Below are 26,724 nucleotides of genomic sequence, written 5' to 3' on the forward strand. Positions count from 1 at the left end.
AACCACCCCCTATCCTCAGGGAAGGGGTGGGCCCTTAATCCACTGTGATGGGTGTCCTTATAAGAAAAAGGGAAATTTGGACACAGGGACACAAACAGACACAGGGAGAAGATGCTCACATGACCACAGAGGCAGAGATTGGAGTTTTGCATCTACAAGCCAAGCAATGCCTGGGGCTACCAGAAGCTGGACTAGGCAGGGAAGAATCCTCTGCAGAACTTTCTAGCACAGTTCCTTGGATATATTTTATTTTTCTTTTTACTTTTTTACTTTTTTCTTTTTCTGAAACAGGGTCTCGCTCTGTCACCCAGGCTGGAGTGCAGCGGCACAATCTTGGCTCACTGCAGCCTTGACCTCCTGGGCTCAGGTGATCCTCCCACCTCAGCCTCTCAAGTAGCCTGGACTATAGGTGTGCACCACCATGTCCAGCTAATTTTTTGTATTTTTATTAGAGACGGGGTTTCGCCATGCTGGCCAGGCTGGTCTTGAATTCCTGGACTCAAGCGATCCACTCTCCTTGGTCTCCCAAACTGTTGGGATTACAGGCATGAGCCACCGCACCCAGTTGGTTATATTTTATCAAGGCATTAATCAGATTGGCATATTAGGATTTTTATGCCTTTTGGTTCTTTTCAGTGCCACGACTCTGCTTTATTAACTGGTGTCTCTTAGTGCAATGCCTGGTACACAGAGGCCCTTAATAAATAAGGAATGAGCAGATGAATGAATAAATCAATCAATGAACAATTAAAAAGATGTGTGCAAAAGAAAACAATTTAAATGCCTAATTGCAAGTTTAGGTGAAGCAGCAGCCAAAATGCAAAGAGAGAAGTGAAAATGGTACCATGTAAATATCACTATTGTGCTGTAGCCTAACAGAAACTTTTTTTTTTTGGTAAAGTGGTATATTAATGTTTATATTATCCTTTAAGACAGAGCCAAATTTATACAAATTTTTACAATTAAAAAGGAGGTGATTGATTTTCTCTGTTTCTAAATAATGCCAAGGGGAAAAATGTCTCTTAATTCTGGAGAAACCCTGTTCTGATTTTGCTCCTGGTCTGATGCCCATCCATCAGTGACCAGGGCTCCTTGGCCACATATGAAGATTTGGTGTGGCCTTCCTGTGGGGCTGAATCGAGCAGTTCTCATTAAGTTTCCATTCTTAGAAAAAGAAAACAAGGCTGGGCGTGGTGGCTCACGCCTGTAATCCCAGCACTTTGAGAGGCCGAGGTGGCGGATCACTTGCGGTCAGGAGTTCAAGACAAGTCTGGCCAACGTGGCAAAAACCGATCTCTACTGAAAATACAAAAATTAGCCAGGCATGGTGGTGATCACCTGTAATCCCAGCTACTCAGGAGGCTGAGGCATGAGAATTGCTTGAACCAGGAAGGTGGAGGTTGCAGTGAGCCGAGATCATGCCACTGCACTCCAGCCTGGGCAACAGATCAAGACCCTATGTCCAAAAGAAAAAAAAACCCTTCATTTTCAAAACAAATTTTAAGGGTCTATGCTAAAATATAGCCTGAAGGAAATGAGGAGAAATGAATGTTTTTATAATAGTTCTTTAAAAGGGGACTGTCACCGTAATTTAATTGGGGCTTTGCTATTACATTTCATCTCTATCTGTGACACAGTTAAACTCTATTATCTAAAGCACTGACCCAAGATGAGCTACTTTTTCTTAAAAAATCATCCTGACATCATTTTTAAAATGCCTTTTATGGGTCCTTTAGTTCTGAATTAATTATTTGGAGGAAGGGAGAGTGAATCAAAATTTCAGTTGGGAGGTTTAGGGTTTACATAGCTTGAAAATCATATTCAACATTGTAATATGGACTTATTCCTAGAAAAAATTAAAATGTTTTAATAATGCAAATTATGAAATGTAAAGGGTAGTGAATCCGCACTAACAGAGACACTCAACAAGTCAAACATCTGAGTCTTAGCGACTCCCTAACATCCAGGACACTCCCTCAAGAACAATGCTATTTATCAGAATCTAGAACTTGAAAACTGTGTGATATAGTTATGCTTATTGAAAAGAGGTGTATACTTCAAAAAGCATGCCACCTTGTCTAGTCTCTTTATTTTCTCTTTATATAATTCTGACTGGCCATGACATGCAGAATCTCCTCTGTATATCAAGAGCCTTGAAGCCTGTTTCCAAACTCAGGAGCTGTAAGCTATTACTTTGTGTAGACTTTCTCCATCATTGAAATTCTGTTTGCCTCCTCTTTGGCTACTGTTTATCAAGGTTTTCTGATAAGTAAATAGAAAGCCTTTCTGGGTGGAGCATGGTTGCTATGCAAACACAAAGTAACAGTTGCACTGTTTGTTAAAGATCTAACAGGAGTGGAGAGAATTGTATGAGTCTCTTTGGAATATCAACATAGCATTCCATGTTGGGTAAAGAAAATATTAGGGGCAGACATGGACTTTTTTAAAACTTAAAGGATGTATTATTTGGGATATTTCCTTCTGAATTAAATAATGAGGTAGCACATGAATAGTATGAACTGAAAACAATCCTTGTGGTCTGTTAACATATTCATGCACTTACAGTAGTGGATCCCCTTTATCTTTACCTTAGTATAGGTGTGGATGAGACAGGTAGATAAGGCATAAGGTAGCCACAGAGTGAGAAGACACATGTGATGGTTAATACTGAGTGTCAACTTGATTGGATTGAAGGATGCAAAGTATGGATCTTGTGTATGTCTGAGGGTGTTGCCAAAGGAGATTAACATTTGAGTCTGTGGGCTGGGAAAGGCAGATTCACCCTTAATCTGGGTGGGCACCATCTAATCAGCTGTCAGTGAGGCTAGAATATAAAGCAGGCAGAAAAATGTGAAAAGAGGAGACTGGCCTAGCCTCTCAGCCTACACCTTTCTCCAGTGCTGGATGCTTCCTGCCCTGGAACATCAAACTTCAAGTTCTTTAGTTTTGGGACTCAGACTGGCTCTCCTTGCTCCTCAGCTTGCAGATGGCCTATTGTGGGGCCTTGTGATCGTGTGAGTTAATACTTACTAAACTTCCCTTGATAGATAGATAGATAGATAGATAGATAGATAGATAGATAGATAGATAGATAGATAGAAAGATAGATAGAGATATATATCCTATTAGTTCTGTCCCTCTAGAGAACCTTGGCTAATACAACACAGTTCTTTCCAATTCTGGGTAATTCTGATTTGTAGCATTCAGGGGAGAAAAACTCAACAACCTGAAATTTGTACTACCCAGGTCTTGTTCTAATCTGATTCTCCCCATTGGGCTCTGCTTCTGGTAACAAAGTTGAGAAAAGGGAAATGCCTTGAATATTACAGAGCACAGAGTAAATGCTCAGTAATATTTGTTGAACTAATGAATAAATAAATGTAAAGAATTAGGCAGCTGCTTGTCTATATTGAGAATAGCAATTAATAAAATAGCACAGAGTCATTCAACTTAAAATCCCAGGAATCGAGGCCAAAACCAAAATAGCAAAATAAATTACAAAGAACATATGCAAGAGGGTGCCTTTAGCTTAAAGAGGTAGATGAATTGCTGTCAGAACTGTCTCTTGATTGTATGAATTCATTTACATGCTCCACAATGTTGCCATCATCGTTGTCCAAACATGGAAAGATTCATTAATGCTTTATGTAAAAAAAAAAAAAGAAAAAAAGTGTGTCTAATAAATGAAAACCAGAAAGTAGATATTTTTATAGGAAAACCTAGAAAGTAAAGGGGATAAAGCGCAGGCAAAGAAAGCTAGAAGAAATTAATTTCCTTTATTTATAAAAGTCTATTGTTTTCTAAAAAGTAAAATTAACCTCAAATTGGACTTATCCATTATATTTTCCTTTTTAAATAAATCAGTTCCTTTAACATATTTAGGTGGGTAATAGCTAATTACCAATCTAATTTAATCATAAAGCAGAGGATTTAACTAAAGGTCTCCATTCTATATATATCATAGGCCTGGTCTTAGAAGTAATGACATTCCTGTCTTTCAGAGTCTTTTGTGCCTCATCAAGTTGAGACCATTTTGAAAATAGAAAATGAGGTCAGGGGAATGAGTACATTTCATTCTGTCTCAGAAAGGGTCTGTATCATGTTTAAAAAATTATTTGTCCCTTAACCTATATATTTGTCAAATTAAATTAATATATTGTCACATCAACACACTTGGTAACAAGAAAAGAAAAAAGACAAGGTCTATAATTTTTGTTTGGAGATATATATATATTTTTTTTTGAGATGGAGTTTGGCTCTTATTTCCCAGGCTGGAGTGCAATGGCACAATCTTCACTCACTGCAACCTCTGCCTCCCAGTTTCACGTGATTCTCCTGCCTCAGCCTTCCAAGTAGCTGAGATTACAGGCATGTGCCACCATGCCCAGCTAATTTTGTATTTTCAGTAGAGATGAGGTTTCACTAGTTGGTCAGGCTGGTCGTGAACTGCTGACCTCAGGTGATCCACCCACCTCAGCCTCTCAAAGTGCTGGGATTACAGGTGTGAGCCACCATGCCCGGCCTTGCGTATGTTTTAATTAAAAACAAATGTAATCCAGAAGTTTAAAAAGATCAGCTTCAAAACTTATCAAATCTAATTAATTCCTAAATTAACTTTCATTTCCCTTGCGGCTCTCCAAAACTGTCAATAAATGAAGAACAATGAAGAAAAAACAGATATTATATAAATAAAAGAGAATATTGTATAAATTTTGCACTCCCCATCCTTATCTCTCTTTTGTGCTTTATTTTTTCCCCTGGGACTTACTAGCTTATCATATTCTAAATAATTTTTAACTTGATTTGTTTTCCTGTGTCCCCACTGGAAAACCAGCCATGAGAGTCTGGATGTTTGTTTTATTTTCCAATGTCTCCCCAGTGTTTAAATAGTGCCCGGCACGCAATAGGCACTTTATGTATTTGTTGAATTGATTAAGCATAATGAAGAGATACCAATATAATGTAAACAAATAATCACTCAGGGTCCCAATTTTCTATCTGCATTTATTTAGAACAGAATATGGTGCAGTGTTTTTTCAAGGACTGCCAAGTCATGTTTTACAGAAACAGTAAATTTAATAACATTTCTGTGGCACTTCAGCAATTTACAAAGTGCTTTCTCATGCCTTGTCTCATCTGATCTCTCAGAAGCCTCTTGGGGACCTTTTACTATTCTCACCATGTTACATAGGAGGTATCTGAAATTTAGACAGGTTACAGAAGGTGTCCCAAATCACCAAAGACAGAAAGTGCTGGAGCCTAGACCTGCAGCTGTGTCCTTTGTGGGCAAAGGTCGTCTACTCCCCCCTTTGTCGCATGGCTTCTCATTTCTGGATTTCTTTCAGAAATGTACAGGGTGTGCTCAGAGATGCCCTCTACACAGCCTCCCTGTCAACAGCCATTTTAGGGACCAATAACTTCTTATTGATGTATCCAAGTCAGATTGCTGAATACTCCATAATCTGGGGTAACTCTTACTTGATTACTCTGTTCTTGTAGTTCTTACTGGACACTACTTTGTCAAATGAAACGAAGGGGCTAATCAACTCAGGTGGTTCCATTTTCTTACATTCAGATCCTCCAAGAGTGGATTGAAAAACCAAATAATGCAATAGTGTTTCAGACACTCTGCTGGACACCAGACATAGAGTGGTGACAAGAAGGGCTTGAAAAATGGATGGTTTAATTTCTATCTATCAGTTTTCGAATACTTCCTCCATGTGTCCCCAACCAGAGGCAGATTGGTTGGAAATTTCACAAAAGCAAGATTTCTCTGATCTCATAGTTTTCTGAGAAAACTCAAGCTGGCTGAAGCCAAATGTTTTATTCTGAAAGCGTTTTGTGTTTCTAAATGGCATCATGAATTCAGAAATGACCACATAATAGTCTTTCGCATTTGAAGATCTTCCTCCTTCCCAGGGCTTATGGTTGTATGGGTGAGAAGGTCAAGTTGAAAAGTATACACTACTCTTGCAGCCTGCCCTTCCATTTATGACTGTGCCAATCTTTCCAAACCTTGTCTAATATGTATGCTTAAAAGGAGCTCCATCATTTTATTTAACTGATGATGAGGTGGTTTCCTGGGAGGTTATTTCCCTACAATGCTGCCACAATGCTTGATGTGGCCCTTCGTCATGGAACTCACAATGCTGCACTTGATTTCTTGACTTTAATCCAAATGTGATGGCTTCAATTTAGTGCATTTTGGGAAAAAGATCCAGTTGCTAATAAAAAAGGATCTCGTCATCCTTTACTTACATTGTGACTTCATCCAAACAACCATCACCTTACTGCATGACTGAAATTATTATCATCTTAACAGTGGTAATTCTGGTCATTCTGACACTGCACTTCATAGGGTTACATTGACCCCTTTCAGTTTTTTGTGACTAGAATGTCAATTTCCTTACTTGCCTGAGTTCATCTTAAATTCTACATGCTGAAAGACAAGAATTATATGTAAGCTTGTGATTATATGTAAAGCATGTGTATATGTGTGAATGATACTGATAATTACCACTCCCATTTATTATTAACTGTGAACCAGTCATTTTGCTAAGTGCTTCACATGTGCTATCTCATTTAAAACTCTTAGTAATAATTATGGAACATAAGTATCCCATACTTGTAACTGCCCAATTAGTTTCCCTGCCAGTTGCACAAACAAAGATGACAGCATTGCTGTAGAGAGAGTTTAATTGACATGAATCCAGCCACACCACGCAGGGATATAGACTTATTACTCAAATCAATATCATGGAAAGCTCGTAGGTTAGGGATTTTACAAAGGAAGTTTGGGGGTGGCTAGGCAGTGGGTGCTTGCTGCTGATTGGTTGGGTTGGAGGTGAAATCATAGGAGCTGAAGCTGTTCTCTTGCACTCAGTTGCTTCTGGGTGGGGGCACAGAAGCCACTGGTTGGTGGATCCAGGTGGAGCCATGGGTATCAGACATGCAAAAAATCTGAGAAAAAAATTCTCAAAAGGCCAATCTCAGGTTCTACAATAGTGATGTTATCTGCAGGACCTCTGGAATAATGGCTGGCAATTGTTCATGTCTACAGTTTAGCAGAATTCAGGCTCCTCTCCTCTCCCTAGCCTGGTGGTCTCTTATTAGCTTTACATAGGTGGTTAAGTTTTTGAGAAGGCTTATTATCATTTAAACTATAAACATGTCTCCCAAAGCTATCTTGGCAGATTGAAGGCTAAAGACAAGAGGGAGAGGAGCTGGATCAAATCTCCTCCATTGCCATAATTTTCTCACTGACATAATTTTTGCAAAGGCAGTTTTATACTGAGTAAGTAACTCACCCAAAGTTGTACAGTGGAAGTACTGGAATTCAAATGTAGGTTGGTCTGATCTCACAGTTTGCACAGGACTGTCTCCCCACTTCAACCCTAGCTCTTTCTCCAGAGTTCAACTATGCCCACTTAAGTGTAATAGTAGTTCATATATAACACTTCCTATAAGCCAGAAATTATTGGAGCTTATACGTTATCTCATGTAATTCTCATATATAAGGCAAGTGCTATTATTGTTAAGGAAACATAACTATAGAGGCATAGAGTCGTTAGGGATCTTGCCAAAAGCCACACCATTTGTAAGTTATAGAACTGGAATTTGAAAGCTGACAGTGCCAGAATCTTTGCTGGCAACTACTATATTATATTGGTTTCTCAGCTTATTAAATTCCTTTGAAGACAGTTTTGCAAAATCATTAGAGCTGTAAAAAAATTTTTTTGAAGCTACCTAAATATATTCATGTGTACATACAATATACAACACACACTGTCATACTTCATACACTTTTCTTGATATCCTCATTACATAAATCATTTAGAGTTGAAACCAAGCCAAATATATGCCATCTGCCTACAGGGAATACATTTAGAATTATGCCCCTTTTCCCAACCAAGTCTACCTAGATTCCTGCAGTCAGCAAGTCAAACAGGATAGAAAGGAGGATGGACCTATGTAAAATTCATTCTGGGTCTTGATATGGTTTGGCTGTGTCCCCACCCAAATCTCATCTTGAATTGTAGCTCCCATAATTCCCATGTGTTATGGGAGATAATTGAATCATGGGGGCAGTTTCCCCAGTCTCTTCTCATGGTAGCGAATAAGTCACATGAGATTGATGGTTTAATAAGGGGAAACTCTTTTTGCTCGGCTCTCATTCTCTCTTTGCCTGCTGCTATGTAAGATGTGCCTTTTGCCTTCCACCATGATTGTGATGCCTCCCCAGCCACGTGGAACTGTGAGTCCATTAAACCTCTTTTTCCTTATAAATTATCCAGTCCTGGATATGTCTTTATCAGCAGAGTGAAAACGGACTAATACAGGTCTGCCACTTTATTTTCATTAGTCCATTTCAAGATGAGGGTGAAGAGCTTGTTTTTGTGGTATCCACCAGGATCACGGGCAGTGGAGCAGAGGTAACCAGGGTGACCCCAGCCACAGAGTGCTTAAGGAGCTCTGTTCACTGAGTCCTGTGTGTGGACTTTAAATAGTAGCACTCTTGTTCCGGGGCTGTCTTCCACCTAGCCCTGGGCACATTCCTATTTCCTCTATTTTGTTCTCCAGGTAAAGTGCTAGCAATCTATTTAGGGCAGCATTCTGATTTGGATGTCAAATAAAACTGATTGATTTTATGATTCTGTAAAGGTCACCTGAAAAGGTGAAACGATTTCTGCTGTGGAAGAGCACCCATAAATCCAAGCTATCTGTGACAAGTCTTGTCGCACTGTAGCAAGATGAATTCTTGGGTCTTCATCTAATCCTAGAAGAGACTGCAAATTTTCCACTGGACTTGGCTCAGGAGCTCACACTCTTTAGATATCAAGGAAGCTTACATATATGAAGACAGCATGGTTAAATGAGAATCTTTTATCAAATTGGTCGTAGCATAGAACTGTAAGAATGAAAACTTAATCACACTATTCAAAGGAATAGTGTGTAAATAAGAGGACACCTTTCACACCTGTTGGTGGCTTCATCACCATCAGTTAAGAGCCTAGAACATGAGGCCTCCAAATGACTGAAAAGGTCAGCATGTAACTGTAAGTCTCCCATCTCTTCCACCTCTTCCAGAGCTCAGTGAAGGCAGAGTTTTCTTCTTTGGTGCTTCCTATTTTGCACAGAAGAGTGTTTAGCACAGAGTGGAGGCTCGAAAAAAAATATATAGATATATATGTAATTACACAAGTTGCATGACCATGACATCTTTGATACATCTTAAAATTTCTGGGTATCATCAAAACTCACTGGGGTTCTTCGTCCATCAAATGGAGGAAAGGAGCAGTGGGAAATGAGTATGGAAGAAAAGTGAGGAAGAAAAGGGATGTGTTGTATGTATATGTGTGTGTATGTATACAAGCATCTATAAAAATAATATAACGATGAATGGATGGGCTTTGGTCCAGGCTAGTCTAAAGCAAAAGGATCCACTAAGACTGTTTCCTTGTCATTCCAATTTTCTTAAAACAACTATGAATCAAAGGTAAGACACTGAGAGGAATTGGAAGTTACTTAGAAATGTGGAATGAGGAAAGGGATAAAAACAACTGCTTATGTGCCAAGTGCTATGTCAGGCAAATATGGACTAGGTCACTGTCTTCTCTAATACAAAGAACTAACCAAAAGGCAGAGATTGTGGTTCCCACTATGCAGGAAGGAGGCTGAAGGACTTAGTGCACAAATGATTGGCAGAGGAGTGAGGTCCAGCCTAGTGTCTTGGCTCCAATGACTGCCTTTCATTTGTCCCAGTTTTTGGCATCACCAACATGGTTCAGGCCATCATTTCCACTTGCCTGCCTGCCCTGGCCTCTCCTTAGTCTTTATAGCCTGAGTGATGTTTCTAAGACCCAAATCAGACATGTCACTCCTCCTCTTTAAGTGGAACCAAAGAAGCCCGTGATCCAGCCATTTCCCTTTTCCAGCCTCCTTTAAGTCCACTCTAAACCTACCACTTCCTCCTCTTGCCTCTTTGTTCCCCCACAAACAGCAGGATATGTCTCACCACCACATGCTAGCTAACCCATCACCTGTCTCTGGAATATCTGCGCCTTCTATCTTTGCCTGGCTAATGTGGAATCATCTTTCAGTACTTATCGGATACCTCCATTCCTTTAGGAATCTTGCTTAAGTTCCGGGTTGATGTTAGGGCCCTCTTCTGCATTTCCATGGAACTCCCTAAATTCATGTGCCGTAAAAATTTATCACATTCTGCTAAAATTGTCATTTTATATCATCTGTCTCACTAGTTTATAAGTTCTTTAAAGGCAAGAGCCAGATACTGCCCATTTTTGTACCTATAAAGCTTTGTACAAAGCATCTGCAGTAAAGTAAACTTCTAGAAGTTGCTTTTCTCTATTCTAAGGTAAACACAAAGAAAAATGAGATTTCTCTTAGGCAGGGTGAAAAATGCCATTATTAATGTAAGCTGCTTCTGGAATGAAGCTGGTGGGTGGGCAGCTGGGCATGAGATAAGACAGGGCATTCAGGAGGGAATGGCTTTAACTTCCTAACTCTACAGCCATACTTTTCAGTACCTGATTTCTTCTGTCTGTCTTCTGGTTACACAGAAAAGTTGACCCTTCTCTTGACTACAGTTGCATCTATTCCTTACCTCTACTCGCTCCTCCAAACCAATAAGAACAAAGGAATAAAAATTATACAGACTCATTAGGACAAAGAAAACCAGAAACAAGGTCTACAATGAATGAATAATGTCAACCAAGTTTGGAAGATAAAAAGAGGATGGATAAGTGGTGATTGACTTAGCAGAGGGAAAAGAGCTGAAAGCTACATGTCTTCATAGGGAGATGCTAACAAAAAGCAAATCAATATGTGCTGCAAACCCCAAGACAAACTGAGGGATCAAAGGCAAATAGGTATTTTGGAAGGCAGGCTCACAGAGCATGGCTGAAAACAGGATTGGCTGTAGAAGAAGCAGACTCCTAGATCACATCTGCACACTTCAATGCCAATTAATGATCTCCCTTATCTCAGCATCAGAAGGTTTCTTTTCTGGAAAAATGAAAGCAGAGACTCTCTAGACTCTGGAATACTAAGGCCAGTGGAAACAGGTGGTGAGTCACTACCCTGGAAAAAAAAAAGACTCAATGACAGTCCACAAACTGATGATGGCATCTTCAGTCCTTTCTCCCACTTCAGCTCACAGATTACTGGGAACCAGACTTGGATCCCTGGGAAGGAGACTATAGAATTCTCATGTTGAGAAAATAATTACCTGTGGCAGCTGTGGAGGTGTGCCTCAGGTTTCCTTTAAGAAAATACCCTGCAGAGAGCATAGGAGCATTGAGGCCATGTGTCCCTGGGCTACATTCAGCCAATGACTGAACATTACAGTTGTGGAAGACTCTTCCAACAGGCAACCTTTGGGAAGTCTCAGGGACTTCCCAACAGCCTGGCCAAGCCACTCTAAAAACTACACTGCAATCGTGGGCTCTTCCTACCCAATCCTTCCTTCCTTCTCTCCTCTCACAGGTGCCAGACCTGCACTGCTGCCTGAAGGCTCTTCCTACCCACTCCTACTTCTTCCCCGTTTATCCTTCATAGGTGTCTCCCCCAGCAAATCTCTTATACAACGAATCCTGACTTGAAGTCTTCTTCTCAGAGGATTTGAACTGACCAAGTGATCCTAACAGTGATCCAGGAAAACGGGTGCAAAGATGGGCCTGGGGACTGACCCACACACCACCTGGATTGCAAAGAGGACCCCATCCTGAGTAAACATGGAGAACAGATTGCCCCTGGAATGAGATGGTGGCCAAATTGCTGAAGATGTCACTGGTGTTGACCTGGAAAAATGTCCCAGTAGAAGTTAATATCCTTTGCTAGTGTGATGATTCCAGATAATCAGGTATTTAAAAGCTAAGTGGAGAACAATGCCCCCAACAAGAGCAGAGTTGGATGGTAATTACAAACTTGTATTGCCACCCTGCAAAAGGGTGATGAGAAGCTGAGGGCAATAAGTGTGAGAGCCAGAGGGACTCTCTGGTAGCTTAAAAAAGAGGTACTTATTTTGCTGCAGTTGAAAAGTGGACACAGCTAAGGGGCACTCAGGACCTGATAGAGTTGCAGACCTCCAGTGATGTTTTAATGCATAGCCAAAGCAGGCTTGTTGTGCTAAGATCAGGGTCCTGGTTAGGAAAATCTGAAACCCTGAAACATGAGATGGGTATATCTGGATGGATGCCCCCCAGGATTTTGGCTCTGCACACACTGAATACTCAGAAACCCCTGAGGTGGCCAGCCGTCCCATCCCTAGCAAAAGCTATTACTCTGCCATGCTGGAAGAATCTGTAGAAGCTTCTCCTCTAAAAGTAAACACATGCTTCCCTCCTCTCTTTTCTGCCAGGCAAATAGCTCGAGTTAAATCTCAGCATATCCTGGCCAGGGACATGCTGGGTCTGACAAGAGAAGAAAGAATGCTCATCAAAGAAACTGAAAGAATTAGCAGGGATATATTAAGTCTGTATAGTACCCCTGGCATTATATTTTGAGGGTGATTGATCAAGGAGGTCAGAATATAAAGCTGCAGAATACAAAGCAAAAATACATTAACTTGGGGGCACTTTTTTGGAACACAGAATTAAATACCCTGGCCAAGGTCCCAGGGGTTGGGGCAAACTCACTGCTAATAGAAGCCTGAATATGCTTGGTCCACAGTAAAGTGGAAAGGCCTTAATTTCCACAGTAGATGGTAGAGGGAGGCATAAAAGATGGAGCAGTGCAGCCCTGCCCATGTGAACCTCAAAGCCTCTCCGGAGCATTATACTCCTCTAGAGGGTTCAGAGGATGCAATACTCACCTGGACTTCCACGAATGTATTGCAAGAGGGTAAACAGCATCATTAATGAGTACAGCTTAGCCTGCATAAGAATTTGTAGATACTTTGAGGGGAAAAGTTCTAAAGAATGCAAGTCTCACTTCAAAATGTTTCTCTTCAGTTAGAAATTTCAGTCCTTCAAGTCCTGAATACCTTAATAGCCTTTTCCTACCTCCCAGCAGACTTTCAAGGTATATTATATTTTTTCAATTATACTTTGTAGGAGAATTCCCCTACATCGACCTACTTTGCCACTACTGCAATTGGACATCTCACCAAACAACGTTTTTAGTCTCTCACTATTAAATATAAACCAATAGTCAAGGGTCCACAGACAATAGAGAAAATTCTCTCTCTTGAAGGGCAGAAAAAAAATATAGAGAATAAACAAATGGTGAGAAATGGATACGAAGCAAGGTACAAAAAATGTATAGTTATCTTTGCCATAGAAATAAGAGACACTTTGGCCAGGTGTGATGGCTCATACCTGTAATCCTAGCACTTTGGGAGGCTGAGTCAGGTGGATTTCCTGAGCTCAGAAGTTTGAGACCAGCCTGGGAAACATGGAGAAACCTCATCTCTACTAAAAATCCAAAAAATTAGCCAGGCATGGTGGCATGTGCCTGTAGTCCCAGCTACTCAGGAGGCTGAGGCAGGAGAATCACTTGAACCTGGGAGGCAGAGGTTTCAATGAGCTGAGATCACGCCACTGCACTCCAGCCTGGCTGACAGAATGAGAGACTCTGTCTCCAAAGAAAAAAGAGAAATAAGAGAAGCTTTTGCAGCCATGAAAGAACAATATGATGCCATAAAAATAGAACTCTTGATGAGGAATTAGAAGCTTTTGAAACTTAAAAATTATGGTAACACAAATCAATAACTCTGTAGGAGTTTCAGAAGATAAAGTCCAGGGTAAAGTACAACAAAAAGACAAAAAAGAAAAGGCAAATGGAAAAGAATAATATAAAAACAGGAGACCAATGCATTAGGTCCAATGATCCAGAATGAAGAAATAGAGAAAAGTTGGAGAAGAAAATCATCAAACAAATAATATGAATATTTTTCCAAAATGAGAAGATATGTGTTTTTAGAAAATGCCTGTTAGATACAAAGACTGAAAATGTAAACAAGACACATCACAATTAAACTTCAGAATGCTAAGTAAAAATATAATCTCAAAAATTTCCAGAGACATAAAATGTGTTAACATATAAAGGGTCAAGAATTAGAATAACATCAGAATTCTCAATTACAGTATTGAGGGCTAGAAGAAAATGAAACAGTATCTTCAAATTGTGGTAGAAAATGATTTTCCACCTAGAATTCTCTAAGACAAACCATCAATTAAGTATAAGCGTAAGTTGCATCCATTGCCAGACATTTGAGATTTCAAAAATTTACCTCCTATGTATGTGTTCTTGGAAAAGCTCCTGGAGATGTTGCACTACCAAAATGTCAGAATAAATCAACAAATAAAAAGACATTGAGTCTTGGAAACAGTGGATACTACACAGAAAAAGTCAATGGAAGTAAATCCACAGGATTCTGGCAAAGAAAATGCGAGGAACATAGCACTTTGGCATGAGGAGGGACCAACTAGGGTAGATTTGAACAAGAGGCTAGATGGAGGATGACACTGAGAATGGTTTAAATGGTAGCCATGACTATGAAAATGGAACTGATTTATTTATGTGTTTAACTATCTGAGACGAATATACAGTTCTATGAGACAGTATGTGGAATAATTAATGATCAGCACAGGGAAATTTAATGAAAAAACAAATAAGCTGTACAAAATGGAAAAAGCAGTAATAGTGTACTTTGTGGCTCAACATGAATAATAATTACATAGTAAAGACTGAATATTTAAGTAAAAAATTGTTATACAACCATTTTGGGAAAATAGAGGAGAAACGTGTGTGGGCCCATGTGATTTCTCCAAGGGTGCTTCAACCTCATCTTTCATAGCAGAGAGAATCAATAGAAATGTCTAAAATAAACACTGCTTAGAAATACAATAGTAAGCCAGGCACAATAGCTCACACCTATAGTCCCAGTACTTTGGGAGGCCAAGGCAGGCAGATCACTTGAGCCCAGGAGTTCAAGACCAGTCTGGGCATCATGGTGAGACCCTGTCTCTACATAAAATTACAAAAATTAGCCAGGTATGGTGGTGTATGCCCATAGTCCCAGCGACTGGGGAGGCTGAGGTGGAAGGATTGCTTGAGCCCAGGAGGTCGAGGCTGCAGTGAGCCATGATTACACCACTGCACTCCAGCCTGGGTGACAGAGAAAGACCTTGTCTCAAAAACACAAAAACAAAAAAGAAATACAATGGTATATATCAAAATAGCTTTAAATGTTTAATTTGAGATAAATAGTTGAAGCTGGGAATTATACATATTCTTAGTAGTCTTTGAACCACTTGAATCACTTTGGTGAAAACAAATAATCAAAGACCTGATCATTTCCACAATAAGGAAGAACAAGGAGTAATTCACAGACATATCAACATGGATCAGTCTCTCCCATTTCAAAACAAGCAACGCCTCCCTTAACGTAATGCACCACTTCTCTTTACAAGCCAGCTTCATTAGTGTTCACTACTCACTGCCTCTACTTCTCACTGGCCACTTAGTTATTCACCTGCCATTATTACTGACTTTTTTGTTGTTCAATACCATGAATTCTCTTCTCTTATTTGACCATGTTAAATCATCTTCTCTTTTGACTTACCTACTGCAACTTCTGACTCTCTATTTTCCTCTAGTCACTCTTCATTTCTTCACACCTCCTCCAAAAGTTCTACTTTTGCTATTTGACATGAAAATATACTCAGAAAACAACTGTTAGGCCACAGCAAACTCATTTCCTGGGTGGCATCAGAGTCGGGGGTGGTCTTCCCATTGCACTTCCTTAACCTAGGTTCCTGTCTGGACTGTCTTCTGGGCTGATTCCTTAGCAAAGTGCTTTCTCCCTGCTTCCCTGGACTTAAATTCCAGGCTTGCTTGCTTCCTGACCTGCTGACATGTAAGAGTACATCACCAGGTTCCCTTGAACTATGCCCTGACTCTCTGGGCCTTTTGCGCCTTCTTCTGCTCAGTTCCAACTCCTAAGAATGCTGCTGGGCCAGAAAATCCAGTTCGTGCTTGTCCCAGCTAAGAAACAACATGTGTGATGGCCCCAAGGAGAAAAGGAGCATGGAATGTCAAGGGGACAGAAGAAGAAGTCCAGGGTGGCCACAGTAGAGAGAGTTAGGGGGTCAGTGACCAGAGATGATGCTGGAAAGATGGGCAAGGGCCAGATGTCACAGGGCCTTTTGTTCCCCTTATAGATTCTTGTCTTAAAGAGCAATAGAAAACCGTTCAATTGCATAGAGCATGAACAATTTCTGACCAGATTTTCATAAAAAAATGAGTTTGTATGAAGTACAGAGAATGTATAAGGTATGAATGAGAGAAAACCAGTTATGAATTGTGCAGATGGAAGATTACGGTGGTAGAATTAAGGTGGTGAAGATGGAGAGATGCAATTGAAACAGAGAGAATTAGGAGGTAAACTCTACAAGACTTAGTAATGACTTGGTTAGGGATTTTGAGGGAACAGCATCAAAGATGACCTCCAGGTTTCTGGCTTGAACGTCTGAGAAACTGATGGTGCCAGTCACAGATAAAGCAGATACTGGAGGAGGACCAAGTTTGAGGGAGAAGTTACCAGTTTTTGAGCTTGAGATGTGTTTGTGACCACTGGGTGATGATTTACCAGAAGTCATTTGGATATACAATTCTGGAAAACATTGAATAGAAGAATGGGCTGAGTTGATATTTATAAAAAATTTACCATTTTTTATCAAATGGTGTGATCGGCCAGGCATGGTGGCTCACACCTGTAATCCCAGCACTTTGGGAAGCTGAGGCAAGCAGATCACGAGGTCAGGACTTTGAGCCCAGCCTAGGCAACATGGTGAAACCCTTCTCTACTAAAAAATACAAAAACTAGCTGGGTGTGGTGCATGGTGGTGCACGCCTGTAGTCCCAGCTACTCAGGAGGCTGAGGCAGGAGAATCGCTTGAACCTGGGAGGCAGAGGTTGCAGTGAGCCGAGATGGCACCACTGCACTCCAGGCTGGGCGACAGAGTGAGACTCCATCTAAAAAAAAAAAAAAAAAAAAAAAACATGTTGTACCAGTTCCTATCACTGCTCACTGCTATACAAAATTGAAAATTGTCACAATCTATCTGTTGGTGGCCTTAAACAACACAGATCTATTATTTCACAGTTCTAAAGGTTAGAAGCCCAAATGGGTTACATTTTATTAAAATCAATCTGTTAGCAGAGCTGCATTCCTTCTGGAGGCTCTAAGGGATAATCTATTCTCTTGCCTTTCTCAGCTTCTAGAGGTCATCTGCACTGTGTATTCCTTGGCTTATGTCTCCTTCTTCCATCTTGAAAGCCAGCAGCACAGTGTAGCATCTTCAACTCAATCTCTCTCTCTCTCTCTCTCTCCCCCCCACCTTCTCTGACTTCTGCTTCCATTGTCACATCCCCTTCTGTGACCCTTCTGACCTCCCTTTTATAAGGATCTTTGTGCTTACATGGAGCCCATTCACATAATCCAGAACAATCTCCCCATCTGAAGACCCTGAATGTAATCACATCTTAATTTAACCATGCATTTTGCCATATAAGATAATATATTCACAGGTTCCTGGATTTGAATGTTGACATCTCTAGGGACCACTGTTCTGCCTGCCACATGTGTAGGGACACGACTCTGTAAATGCTTATTGAATAGGTGGTTTTAAAAAAGGAACGCAATTTTTAAGTGAGATGGTGTTTTCCCCTAATCTGATAGAATCAAACTCAGAAACATAGGGAGATTTAATGGATGAGCCAGGGGAAATGATGAAATGTATAGTAGTGCTGAAACCAAGTTGTTTTTACCAAAAAAAGTTTTACGTGTTTTGCTCCTAAAAAATTCTCCCTTTTGAACACGTATAGGAAAGATAATTTATGCCTAAAGCCTGTCATCTTAGAAATTGGTTCAGCTTTTTTCAGGAGGCAGTCTAAGCATGACTTTGGTGAGTGTAATATATGATATATCAACCTCAGTTAAGCACCATTCAGTAAGAGGACAGCTATTCCTGGTCTTCTCTCTCTGGCTACTCACATCTTGACTGACATTGTTACAGCCTCAATACACAGAATACAAAGCCACCATGAAGATGATGTCTCTTATGGTTATGTCCAATGAGCTACTTGTGAAAGCTTTGTTTCCTGCCCCTGTAACTGAGATCTTCTGGTTGAGAAGTTTTAGTGCCCAAGAAAGTTGTCCTTCCATCAATGGATACAGAATGGTTCTAAAGGCGTAGTACTTCCTTGTAACCTGGTTATTTTAGGCTCATCATTGCCACTGGACAAACAAGCAAAAGAAGGGTTAGTAGGGGTTTTTTATTTTTAATTTATTTTTTCTCCCTGTCTTATGGTGCTGAGGGTTAGTGTTTAGGATGATGTATTTTACTTTGACTATTAAAAGATAATAGGATGCTGCCACAAAAGTGGAAGGAAGGCATATGGATGGAACCCAGGCAATCCTATGGATGCTGCCTTGCAATACCTTATATACTGATGACTCATGCAAACTAAACAGGTAGATCTACCAGGGCTCAGAATATACACATGTTAGAGAACCCCACACAAAGGGAAGTCAAAGCAGCAGGTGGACGAAGGAAGTCATAAATATTCAGTTAGCACTGGTGACAGATAACAGAACTAATCTTTGCAGCTATTACTTATTTTTCCTTCTTTGCTATGCAATACATATATTAAATGTTTTATCTGATTTTCCTTCTCTTTCCTCTACCTTCCTCCACTATCTTATATGGTGCATATTGGTGACACTTATGCCATTTAGCTTTAAAGTGGAAAACTGATGAGACACCACAATGGAATGAGAGGAGACATGGACATCACTCAGATAATCTAGGCTTGGAGATGAATGGGGTAACTGGTAAGACTTCGGGTTATCTTCCTTTAGGAAGAGGAGGTTAACGCACTTTTGACGTGTTAGGAAAGTTAACTTTCAGACATTTTTTGAACTGTCAAGATAGAAACGAAGATATGGTGAATTTTAGGCAACAATCAAGAAGAGGTTATAAGGGCACACGTAGATTTTTGTTGGTGGTGGTTGTTATTGCACAAAACACATTTCCCTCCCAAGAGCATCTTGAATTCCTTCTTGAGAATTATTCCCCTCCATTGTGTATTTAGTCTTAGCAAGGAAACTGGGTTGATCTTGGGGGAAAGGGGAAGAATAAATGCTCATTATGAGTTACCCCAAGTATAGATATATCTACTGCTATGTTTGGAGAATAAATTCAAGATTTTTACAATATCAATAAAAAGTCTGACTTCATTACTACAGAAGGAAAGTACATACAGTTTAATATGTAATTGCTATATAGTTAAGTCAAACATAAACGCAGATGCATCAAAATCAAAGGTTATGGACTAGGGTTGTGTTAACTCTAATATCTTTTCAATAAGGAATTGAGGAAATCTTAATCCATATGTGGCTATGGATGTTTTTCTAATTTGATTTTCTCTTCTGTTTTCATGGTTCAGTATCACTGATCTCTGTGTGTCTCTCTATCCCAACAATTTAGTCCTTGTATTATAATAGTTAATAGAAATCATGGCAAATTCTATCTTTCATAGTAGTTACCCAAAATTCAGCAGCTATGTTTCCTAAACTCTAGTTACCTCTGTTCTTAATCACATTGAACTTAAGAAGACTCATTCGGTTTCCAGTGCACTCATAAAATGTCTTCCCCTTCTTGCCTGAAATACAGGTTTGGCAAACACCTTCTCATCATCCTACTGATCTCTCCCTCTACCCTTCTCTGAGCCCTCTCCAAACTGTCATCATATTCTGCCAAATACCCAAAGGGATCCTCTCTGCCCAGATACCATTTGCATTTCTCCTAAGCACATAGTGGCCAGCACCTGGTGTTTTACAGTTTGACAATTTTACGCCCACAGTTGGGTACGCCTCCAAAAGCACCTTGCCCAGCTCTGACAGGAAGGTAAAATGGGCATTGTCCTGTGCACCTTCTTTAATTTTTCTCTTAATGGCAATTTTCAATCCTTTGCCTAGGTGGATGGTGGGATTTACCTGTTATCTGATATTAATAAAAGGGAGGAATTATTGTTCCACTTCCTCTGGCATTACCAATCTTTCTCAGTTGTTGAATTGCTTCCATAAACATGCTTCCAGGCAAGTGAGCTGATTATTTGGCCTGTACAGGAATGAGACATTTGGATATGAAACCAAATCCCCAGTCTCTTTTTTTCACAATCATGCTTTGGTCTAATCATTCTGATGAGAGAATGAAACTAAGACTTTTTAAATGGAGCTAGAGACTTCAGAGATGGATATAAAGTATTACAGCTTCAATGATCATTAGAAACTATCTGATCCAAACCATGGGTTTTAAAAATGAGGAAACTGAGGTTCATTGAATGGAAGTATCTTTCCCATAGCTTGTTAGGGGGAGAAAAGACTATTCTCACATTCATTCTGCTACCAGGCACTGTTTCTCTATCCTACAAGATATAGAGAGTATCAATTTAGGAAATTCTAAAGTGTGCATGCAATATAGTCTAGTTCTTGTTACACAGATCTACTTAAGTTTTGGTAAGACGTGAGAATAATCTCTCTTTTCTTAAAAAAATTGTTTTTCAAAAGAAGAGGACAATAACAAAAAAGCTTACTTAACCTTACTGCTCCCTGGGTTCCATGATGTTTTGCTCTCATCTTTCCTCCCTAAGCAATGATTTCCAGCTGTCGTCCTCATGGTCTCCAAAATAACCATCCCATCCTTCCGTGTTCCCCCCTCACCCCTGGAAATAACCCCTCCACTACCAAGCATCAGTGACTATCCGATTTCCAGGCATGATCTTGGCTCACTGCAACCTCCACCTCCTGGGTTCAAGTGATTCTCCTGCCTCAGCCTCCTGAGTAGCTGGGATTACAGGCACCCACCACCACAGCTGGCTAATTTTTGTATTTTTAGTAGGAACGGGGTTTTGCCATCTTGGCCAGGCTGTTCTTGGGCTGGGTGTGGTGGCTCACACCTAGAATCCGAGCACTTTGGGAGGCTGAGGCGGGCAGATCACCTGAGGTTGGGAGTTTGACTCCTCCATTTTCACTGTTTTCACCTCCTGTCTGCAGTTGGCAATAATAATTTATTCCTCCATCTTTTCCCTGAGTCAGACACATATTCTTTGGCATGTCACTTTTCAAAAATAGCCAAAAATTTTTTTTTTACTGTAGAATGCTTGAGAATTAGAGAAAAGGACCAAAGTGTGACATATTCCCATGTTTCTAATGAAACAACAATTATTCATTTTACATATTTCCTTTTGGGCTATTTTCATATTGCACATATGTTATCTCAATTATTTCTTGTGTTTCTGCATGTTTTCATGCTTTTAATTGTTGCATAATATTCAACAGAGTGTTCATACCTTAAGTTATGATGATATTTGATATCCAAAACAAAGAATAAAATTTATATCCATGATGTCCTGAATTACTCTAAGAAGAATCCCAAATTGAGAGTTAAGTACAAAATGTGGTGACCTGAAGTTGACCTGCAGTAAATAATTCACATCACTGAATAGAGAATAACTTAGTTTTATAAAAGAAATATTTCATAAATCTGAAATACCTTGGAATGAGAATCAGGTTTTTCCAGAATGCCTTTACATTCCTCCAGGAGGCTGAATAATCACTCTCCCAAAGATGTCCACATCCCAATTCCTGGAACCTGAGAATATGTTACCTTACATGGAAAAAGGGACTTTGCAGCTGCAGTTAGGAATCTTGAGATCTGAAGATTATCTTGGATTAGCCATATTGAGCTCAATGTACTCACAATGGACCTGATAAGAGGGAGATAAGAGGGTGAGAGAAGGTACTGTGACCACGAAAGCTGAGGTTGGAGTGAGAGGCTTTAAAGATGGAAGGAGCCATGAGCAGAGGCATGTGGGCAGCCTCCGGAAGTTGGAAACGACAAAGAGATTTTCCCCTAGAATCTCCAGCAGGGACATGGGTCCCCCACACCTTGATTTCAGCACAAAAGCACATTGGGGCTGACCTCCAGAACTATAAGCTGTAAATGTGTGTGTCTTAAGCCACTAGGCTTGTGTTAATTCATCACAGCAGCCACAGGAAACTAATCAAATTCCCTCCACCCTGACAGGCAAGGCTCTAGGCGCTCCATAAAAATCACCCATGACTTTCCTCTGGTGGCTCCTCCTTCCTTCAGAATGCTACCTCTCACCCGGCATTCCACTGCTTCTCTTCATTTTGCTACTTATGGCCCATGCCTGGGCTTTTTCTCTATACCCAGCTCCTCCAGGTTTAGATTCGTGAGCCAGATTGCCCTCAGCCTAGATGCTCTCTCTTGATAACTCAGCCCTTGTCTCTTCAATGTTTGGCCTTAATACCTGGGATTCTAGCCCAGGAACAGTGCTCAGCTAAGCACCAAAAGGGGAGGTGAGACGACGGTTTCCAGATGGGTAAATTTCATAACCCCAGAGCTTTCCTGATTTTTAGACCCATACTTATTAGGCATGCTACCGTAGATGCTTAAGTTCAACACATCTGAAACTGAGCTCGTAATTTCCCCAAATCCTGCCCCTTCTCCTGTAATCCAATCCTGGTTACTGGCAACACCTAGTCATCTCATCCACAAGCCTCAGAGTTCCATTAGATCTCTCTGACTTCCTACGGTGTACACTCTATTTTCCTGCTCCTACACGGAGAGCTGCTCAGATGTTCATTTTGGAATATTTTTAGTTTACCTAACCATCAGGAGCCCTGGTTAGAGTAGACCTTGGCTATTATTTTAGTATAATTGAGCTACCATTATCTTTTAATAAAAGTTATACATTATATATTCATAATATTAAAATTGGTTGATCAATTAATAAAGCAGGTCAGAATGACTATCTAACCATATGACTAGAAAACTATATTGGGCCTTCATTGGTCTAAACACGGGATCTGCCATCTCCAACTATGGATACTTTCAGATTCATCTGGAGATCACAGCAAATCATCGTTTTAAGATTAGGTTAGTATTACAGAAAGAAGTGATTCCTATCATCATGTTACTCTGATGATAAAACTTCAAATGATCATTCTGTATCACAATACAGGCATTGATATTTTGATCATACACCAAAAAAAAGGGGGTGGAAAGGGTGGCATTTCACACGTGACACCTCCAGTGCTCAAAGAGTATCACCAGGTTGAGATAATATATTAATTTTGGATCTCAGAGGCTCCCAAGTGATCACTCAATGACTTTGTTTTGTAGGGACCCACTGGCTTCCCCTGCCTTATTGCCACCCTCAAAATAGTGAGAATTCCATCTTCAAAGAATTTCTTGTCCTGTGCATTCTGTCCTATGGGGAATGAGATTCTTGGAGATCCCACCTGATCTTTACTAACAGATGAGTACTTAGAAAGTGCAGATGTTAAGAAATGCACAAACCAAGTTTCTTTTGGAGTGTAGACTAGAAAGTATGTAATTTTTGTTTTTTCACAAAGGACCCAGCCTTATTGTTTTTCTGTTTATAAAAGATAGTCTTATTACCAAAAAGAAGAGATAAGTACAAAGTAATAGAGACATATAATAAATACCATCTTAAATCCACCACTGAGATTTAGTCCCTGTTCACATTTCCTTTATATTCTTCCAGGATTTTGTCTAAGTAGCAAGTCACTCAAAGGCTTTTGTCTGTGCCAGAGATGGGGAAAATGAAAGAGAAGCTAAAAGGTTCAAAAATAGGAGAAGCAATCTCCTATTTTTGCTGTGGCAGCAAACATTAGGAATGAGGTCCCAGAGCCATGCATAGTACTGCCTAATGTAATTAGGAAGCCAAACCTGTCTGTTGCCTTCTGCCACTGGGAATCCTCAAACTATGCAGCTTAAAAAAAAAAAAAAAAAAAAAAAAAAAAAAGAGGCCGGGCGCGGTGGCTCACGCCTGTAATCCCAGCACTTTGGGAGGCCAAGGCGGGCAGATCACCAGGTCAGGAGATCGAGACCATCCTGGCTAACACACTGAAACCCCGTCTCTACTAAAAATACAAAAAATTAGCCGGGAGAGGTGGCGGGCGCCTGTAGTCCCAGCTACTCCGGAGGCTGAGGCAGGAGAATGGCGTGAACCCCGGGACGGCGGAGCCTGCAGTGAGCTGAGATCGCGCCACCGCACTCCAGCCTGGGCGACAGTGAGACTTCGTCTCAAAAAAAAAAAAAAAGAAACTGGCACAATATATTTCTTTAAATGCACTGAGGACTGAGAATTGATGTAGCCCTTGATTTGCTAGAGAAATCTGCTGGGAAATATTTTGTTTCTCATCACCACCACTGACAGATTCATGCTTAGAACAAGGCTGTTTTAGGTTTCAGAGGGAATATTTTCCCTAGATTCACCCGCAGAGTAATTGTCCTTAAAATGAAGTTACAAAAGGTGAGAGGAACCTTAGGAGGTACTTGGGCTGACAAATGTCTCAGCTGAAGCCATTACCAAGGAGGGGGTGTGATCCCATCACCACTCCAGACCTTGGTTCTCTCCTCTGCACCGGGGGCTCGCGATCCATGTTCAAACACCTCACAGGATGCTTCCCCAAATAACAGTTCCTAAGTGGGCATACGGGCACTCCCAGACAAGTACACTCATGCACAAATATCAGGAATTATCACCATTCCTGGGGCCATAATCATACCCATCATCTCAGAGTGGAGACATTTGCTGGGAGATACACCGGCTCTCCTTTTCCCCTGCATTTCTGTTCAGATCATAGAAACCACACCTGCCGCACACACATATTGAAATATGCATGCCTTTTCCTTAGCTTGACCTACTGCTTCCTGCAGCTTTCTGAATCAACCAGCTGAGTGAACCAAACATCTGCACGTGTCTGATGCACGTATAATTCCCCCAGAACACTAACACACGTGAAAACCCAGCCAAAAGAGAAAGGAAAAAAAAAAAAGGCAAAGAGAACATGCATGTTTGAAAGCTTATTTTTCACTCAGCCCACCCTGATTTCTTTTAGGCAGAGGGCCAATACTTCTCCAAGCATCTTATCCTGACACCCCAGTTCTCCATCACCTGATTCCTATCAATCTGTCTCCTCTCACTGTCATACTCCGTTGTCCACTTCCCCCAACCCAGCCCTCATTCCTTCCTTTATTTTCAGCCAAGACTGCCCAAAATTCCTGAAAGATCCATGCCCTCTGAAACCGCTACACCTTGACCCACACAGACTCATCTGTCCCTCTGGGACCCTTCTATTCCCGTTAACACCATCTCATCCTTTGAACAATTCATACATCCCTCCATCTAGGGAGACTTTGTCACTCCAGGGTGGACAATGTGCTCCACCTTCTACTTCTGTATTTTTTTTTTTTAAGAAATGTGTTCTTGCTGTCACTCAGGCTGGTCTCAAACTCCTGGCCTCAAGCGACCCCCTAACCTCAGCCTCCCAAAATTCTGGGATTATAGGCGTTAGCCACTGTTCCTGGCCATCTCCACACTTCTTATACTTAACTGTCAAAACACTCAGTCACCGAATTCTAAGGTCGATTTAATTACCTGTATCTCTCACTCATTGTTGATGGAGACTGTGCCTTCCATCTTGGTTCTACAGGTACTTGGCATATGGTGGAAATCAGTAAATGCCTATTGCAAAGAAAAAGGAAAAAGAAAGGGAGACAGGGAGGGAGGGAGGTAGTTCAAGGTAGATGGAGTACATTTTAGTTTTGTTAGGATGAAACTAAATGTTGTCGTAGGAAAATAACCAAAATAATTCCTCATTTGTGTACGGGAGGAAATATAAATACATGTAGGTGTGTATATATACTCATGTGTATACATCTGTACAAATGCATATGCATATACATATATGTATGTGTGGCTACATTCCTGTATATATGCATGCACACATGAGCATATATGTAAATATGTATGTGTGTCCATTTGCATACATATATGTGTGTAAATGTGTATGCATATTTTATGTCTATATATACATACATGTGTGGACACATACATGTTTTGGTCTTCTTGGCTCATCTATCACCCTATGTACAGAACTCGCGGTACACACAAATAAAATTAATATGATCACAACTTAAAGGGACAGATAAGGAATTTTAACCAATTTTCAGCAAATGGTTATTAATGTTTACTTTCAGAACCACACGCACAGCATGTGCAGCTGGTGACTCTGCGTGGGCCACCTGCTACCTAGTGCTTTTTCAATCATGCCTGATTACAACGACGAGGGAGAAAAACACCAGATAGCTCAGCCTGATATGTTTTTTATCATTCAGTCTGCTTTTGGGCAGAGGAGTTCAAACCACGAGTGTCAGCAGTGTGTAAGACAGCGTGGGGCTCGGGCCACCTGCCGCAGTGGACCCCTGGCTTAGTTTCCATGTGCTATCTTAGCATGGCAGAAAGCGGATTCCAACCAGCCACAGCAGGTGACAGGAGCTGAAGCTCAGCCCTTCCTGAAAGCAACCCATGCCCTCGAGGATGCTGACGGTGATCTGAGTACATTTTCCAGCTCCCTTGTTCTGTGTAAATAAATGTTTAAGAAGAAATAAGCACTAGCAGCGATCCCTAGCACTTTATGAAGACCAGGATACTGATACTCCCTTCCCGTTGGATGGCACACCACAGTTTGTTTGCATTTCATTTGCTATTTATAACAATAGAGGAAGAAAGACAAAATGTTTTTGTTTTTGTTTTAACACGTGAAGAACATGAGATCGGAAGAGGTAAAGTTAATTTCCC

At 40.6% G+C, this 26,724-nt stretch overlaps 1 protein-coding gene and 1 long non-coding RNA gene across 26 annotated transcripts in view; one reads left to right on the forward strand and one right to left on the reverse strand.

Moving 5' to 3' along the window:
- MBNL2 (muscleblind like splicing regulator 2) overlaps window positions 1-26,724 on the forward strand; it is a 252,287-nt gene that overhangs the window by 21,907 nt on the left and 203,656 nt on the right. The window lies entirely within an intron of this gene.
- On the reverse strand, window positions 8,642-15,882 carry LINC00456 (long intergenic non-protein coding RNA 456). The gene is made up of 2 exons (NR_125725.1): window positions 15,587-15,882; window positions 8,642-9,124 (listed from the first exon to the last, which is right to left on the reverse strand). It is a non-coding gene; the product is annotated as a long intergenic non-protein coding RNA 456 (long non-coding RNA).

This window comes from Homo sapiens, chromosome 13, assembly GCF_000001405.40.
Source record: "Homo sapiens chromosome 13, GRCh38.p14 Primary Assembly".
NCBI lineage: Eukaryota > Metazoa > Chordata > Mammalia > Primates > Hominidae > Homo > Homo sapiens.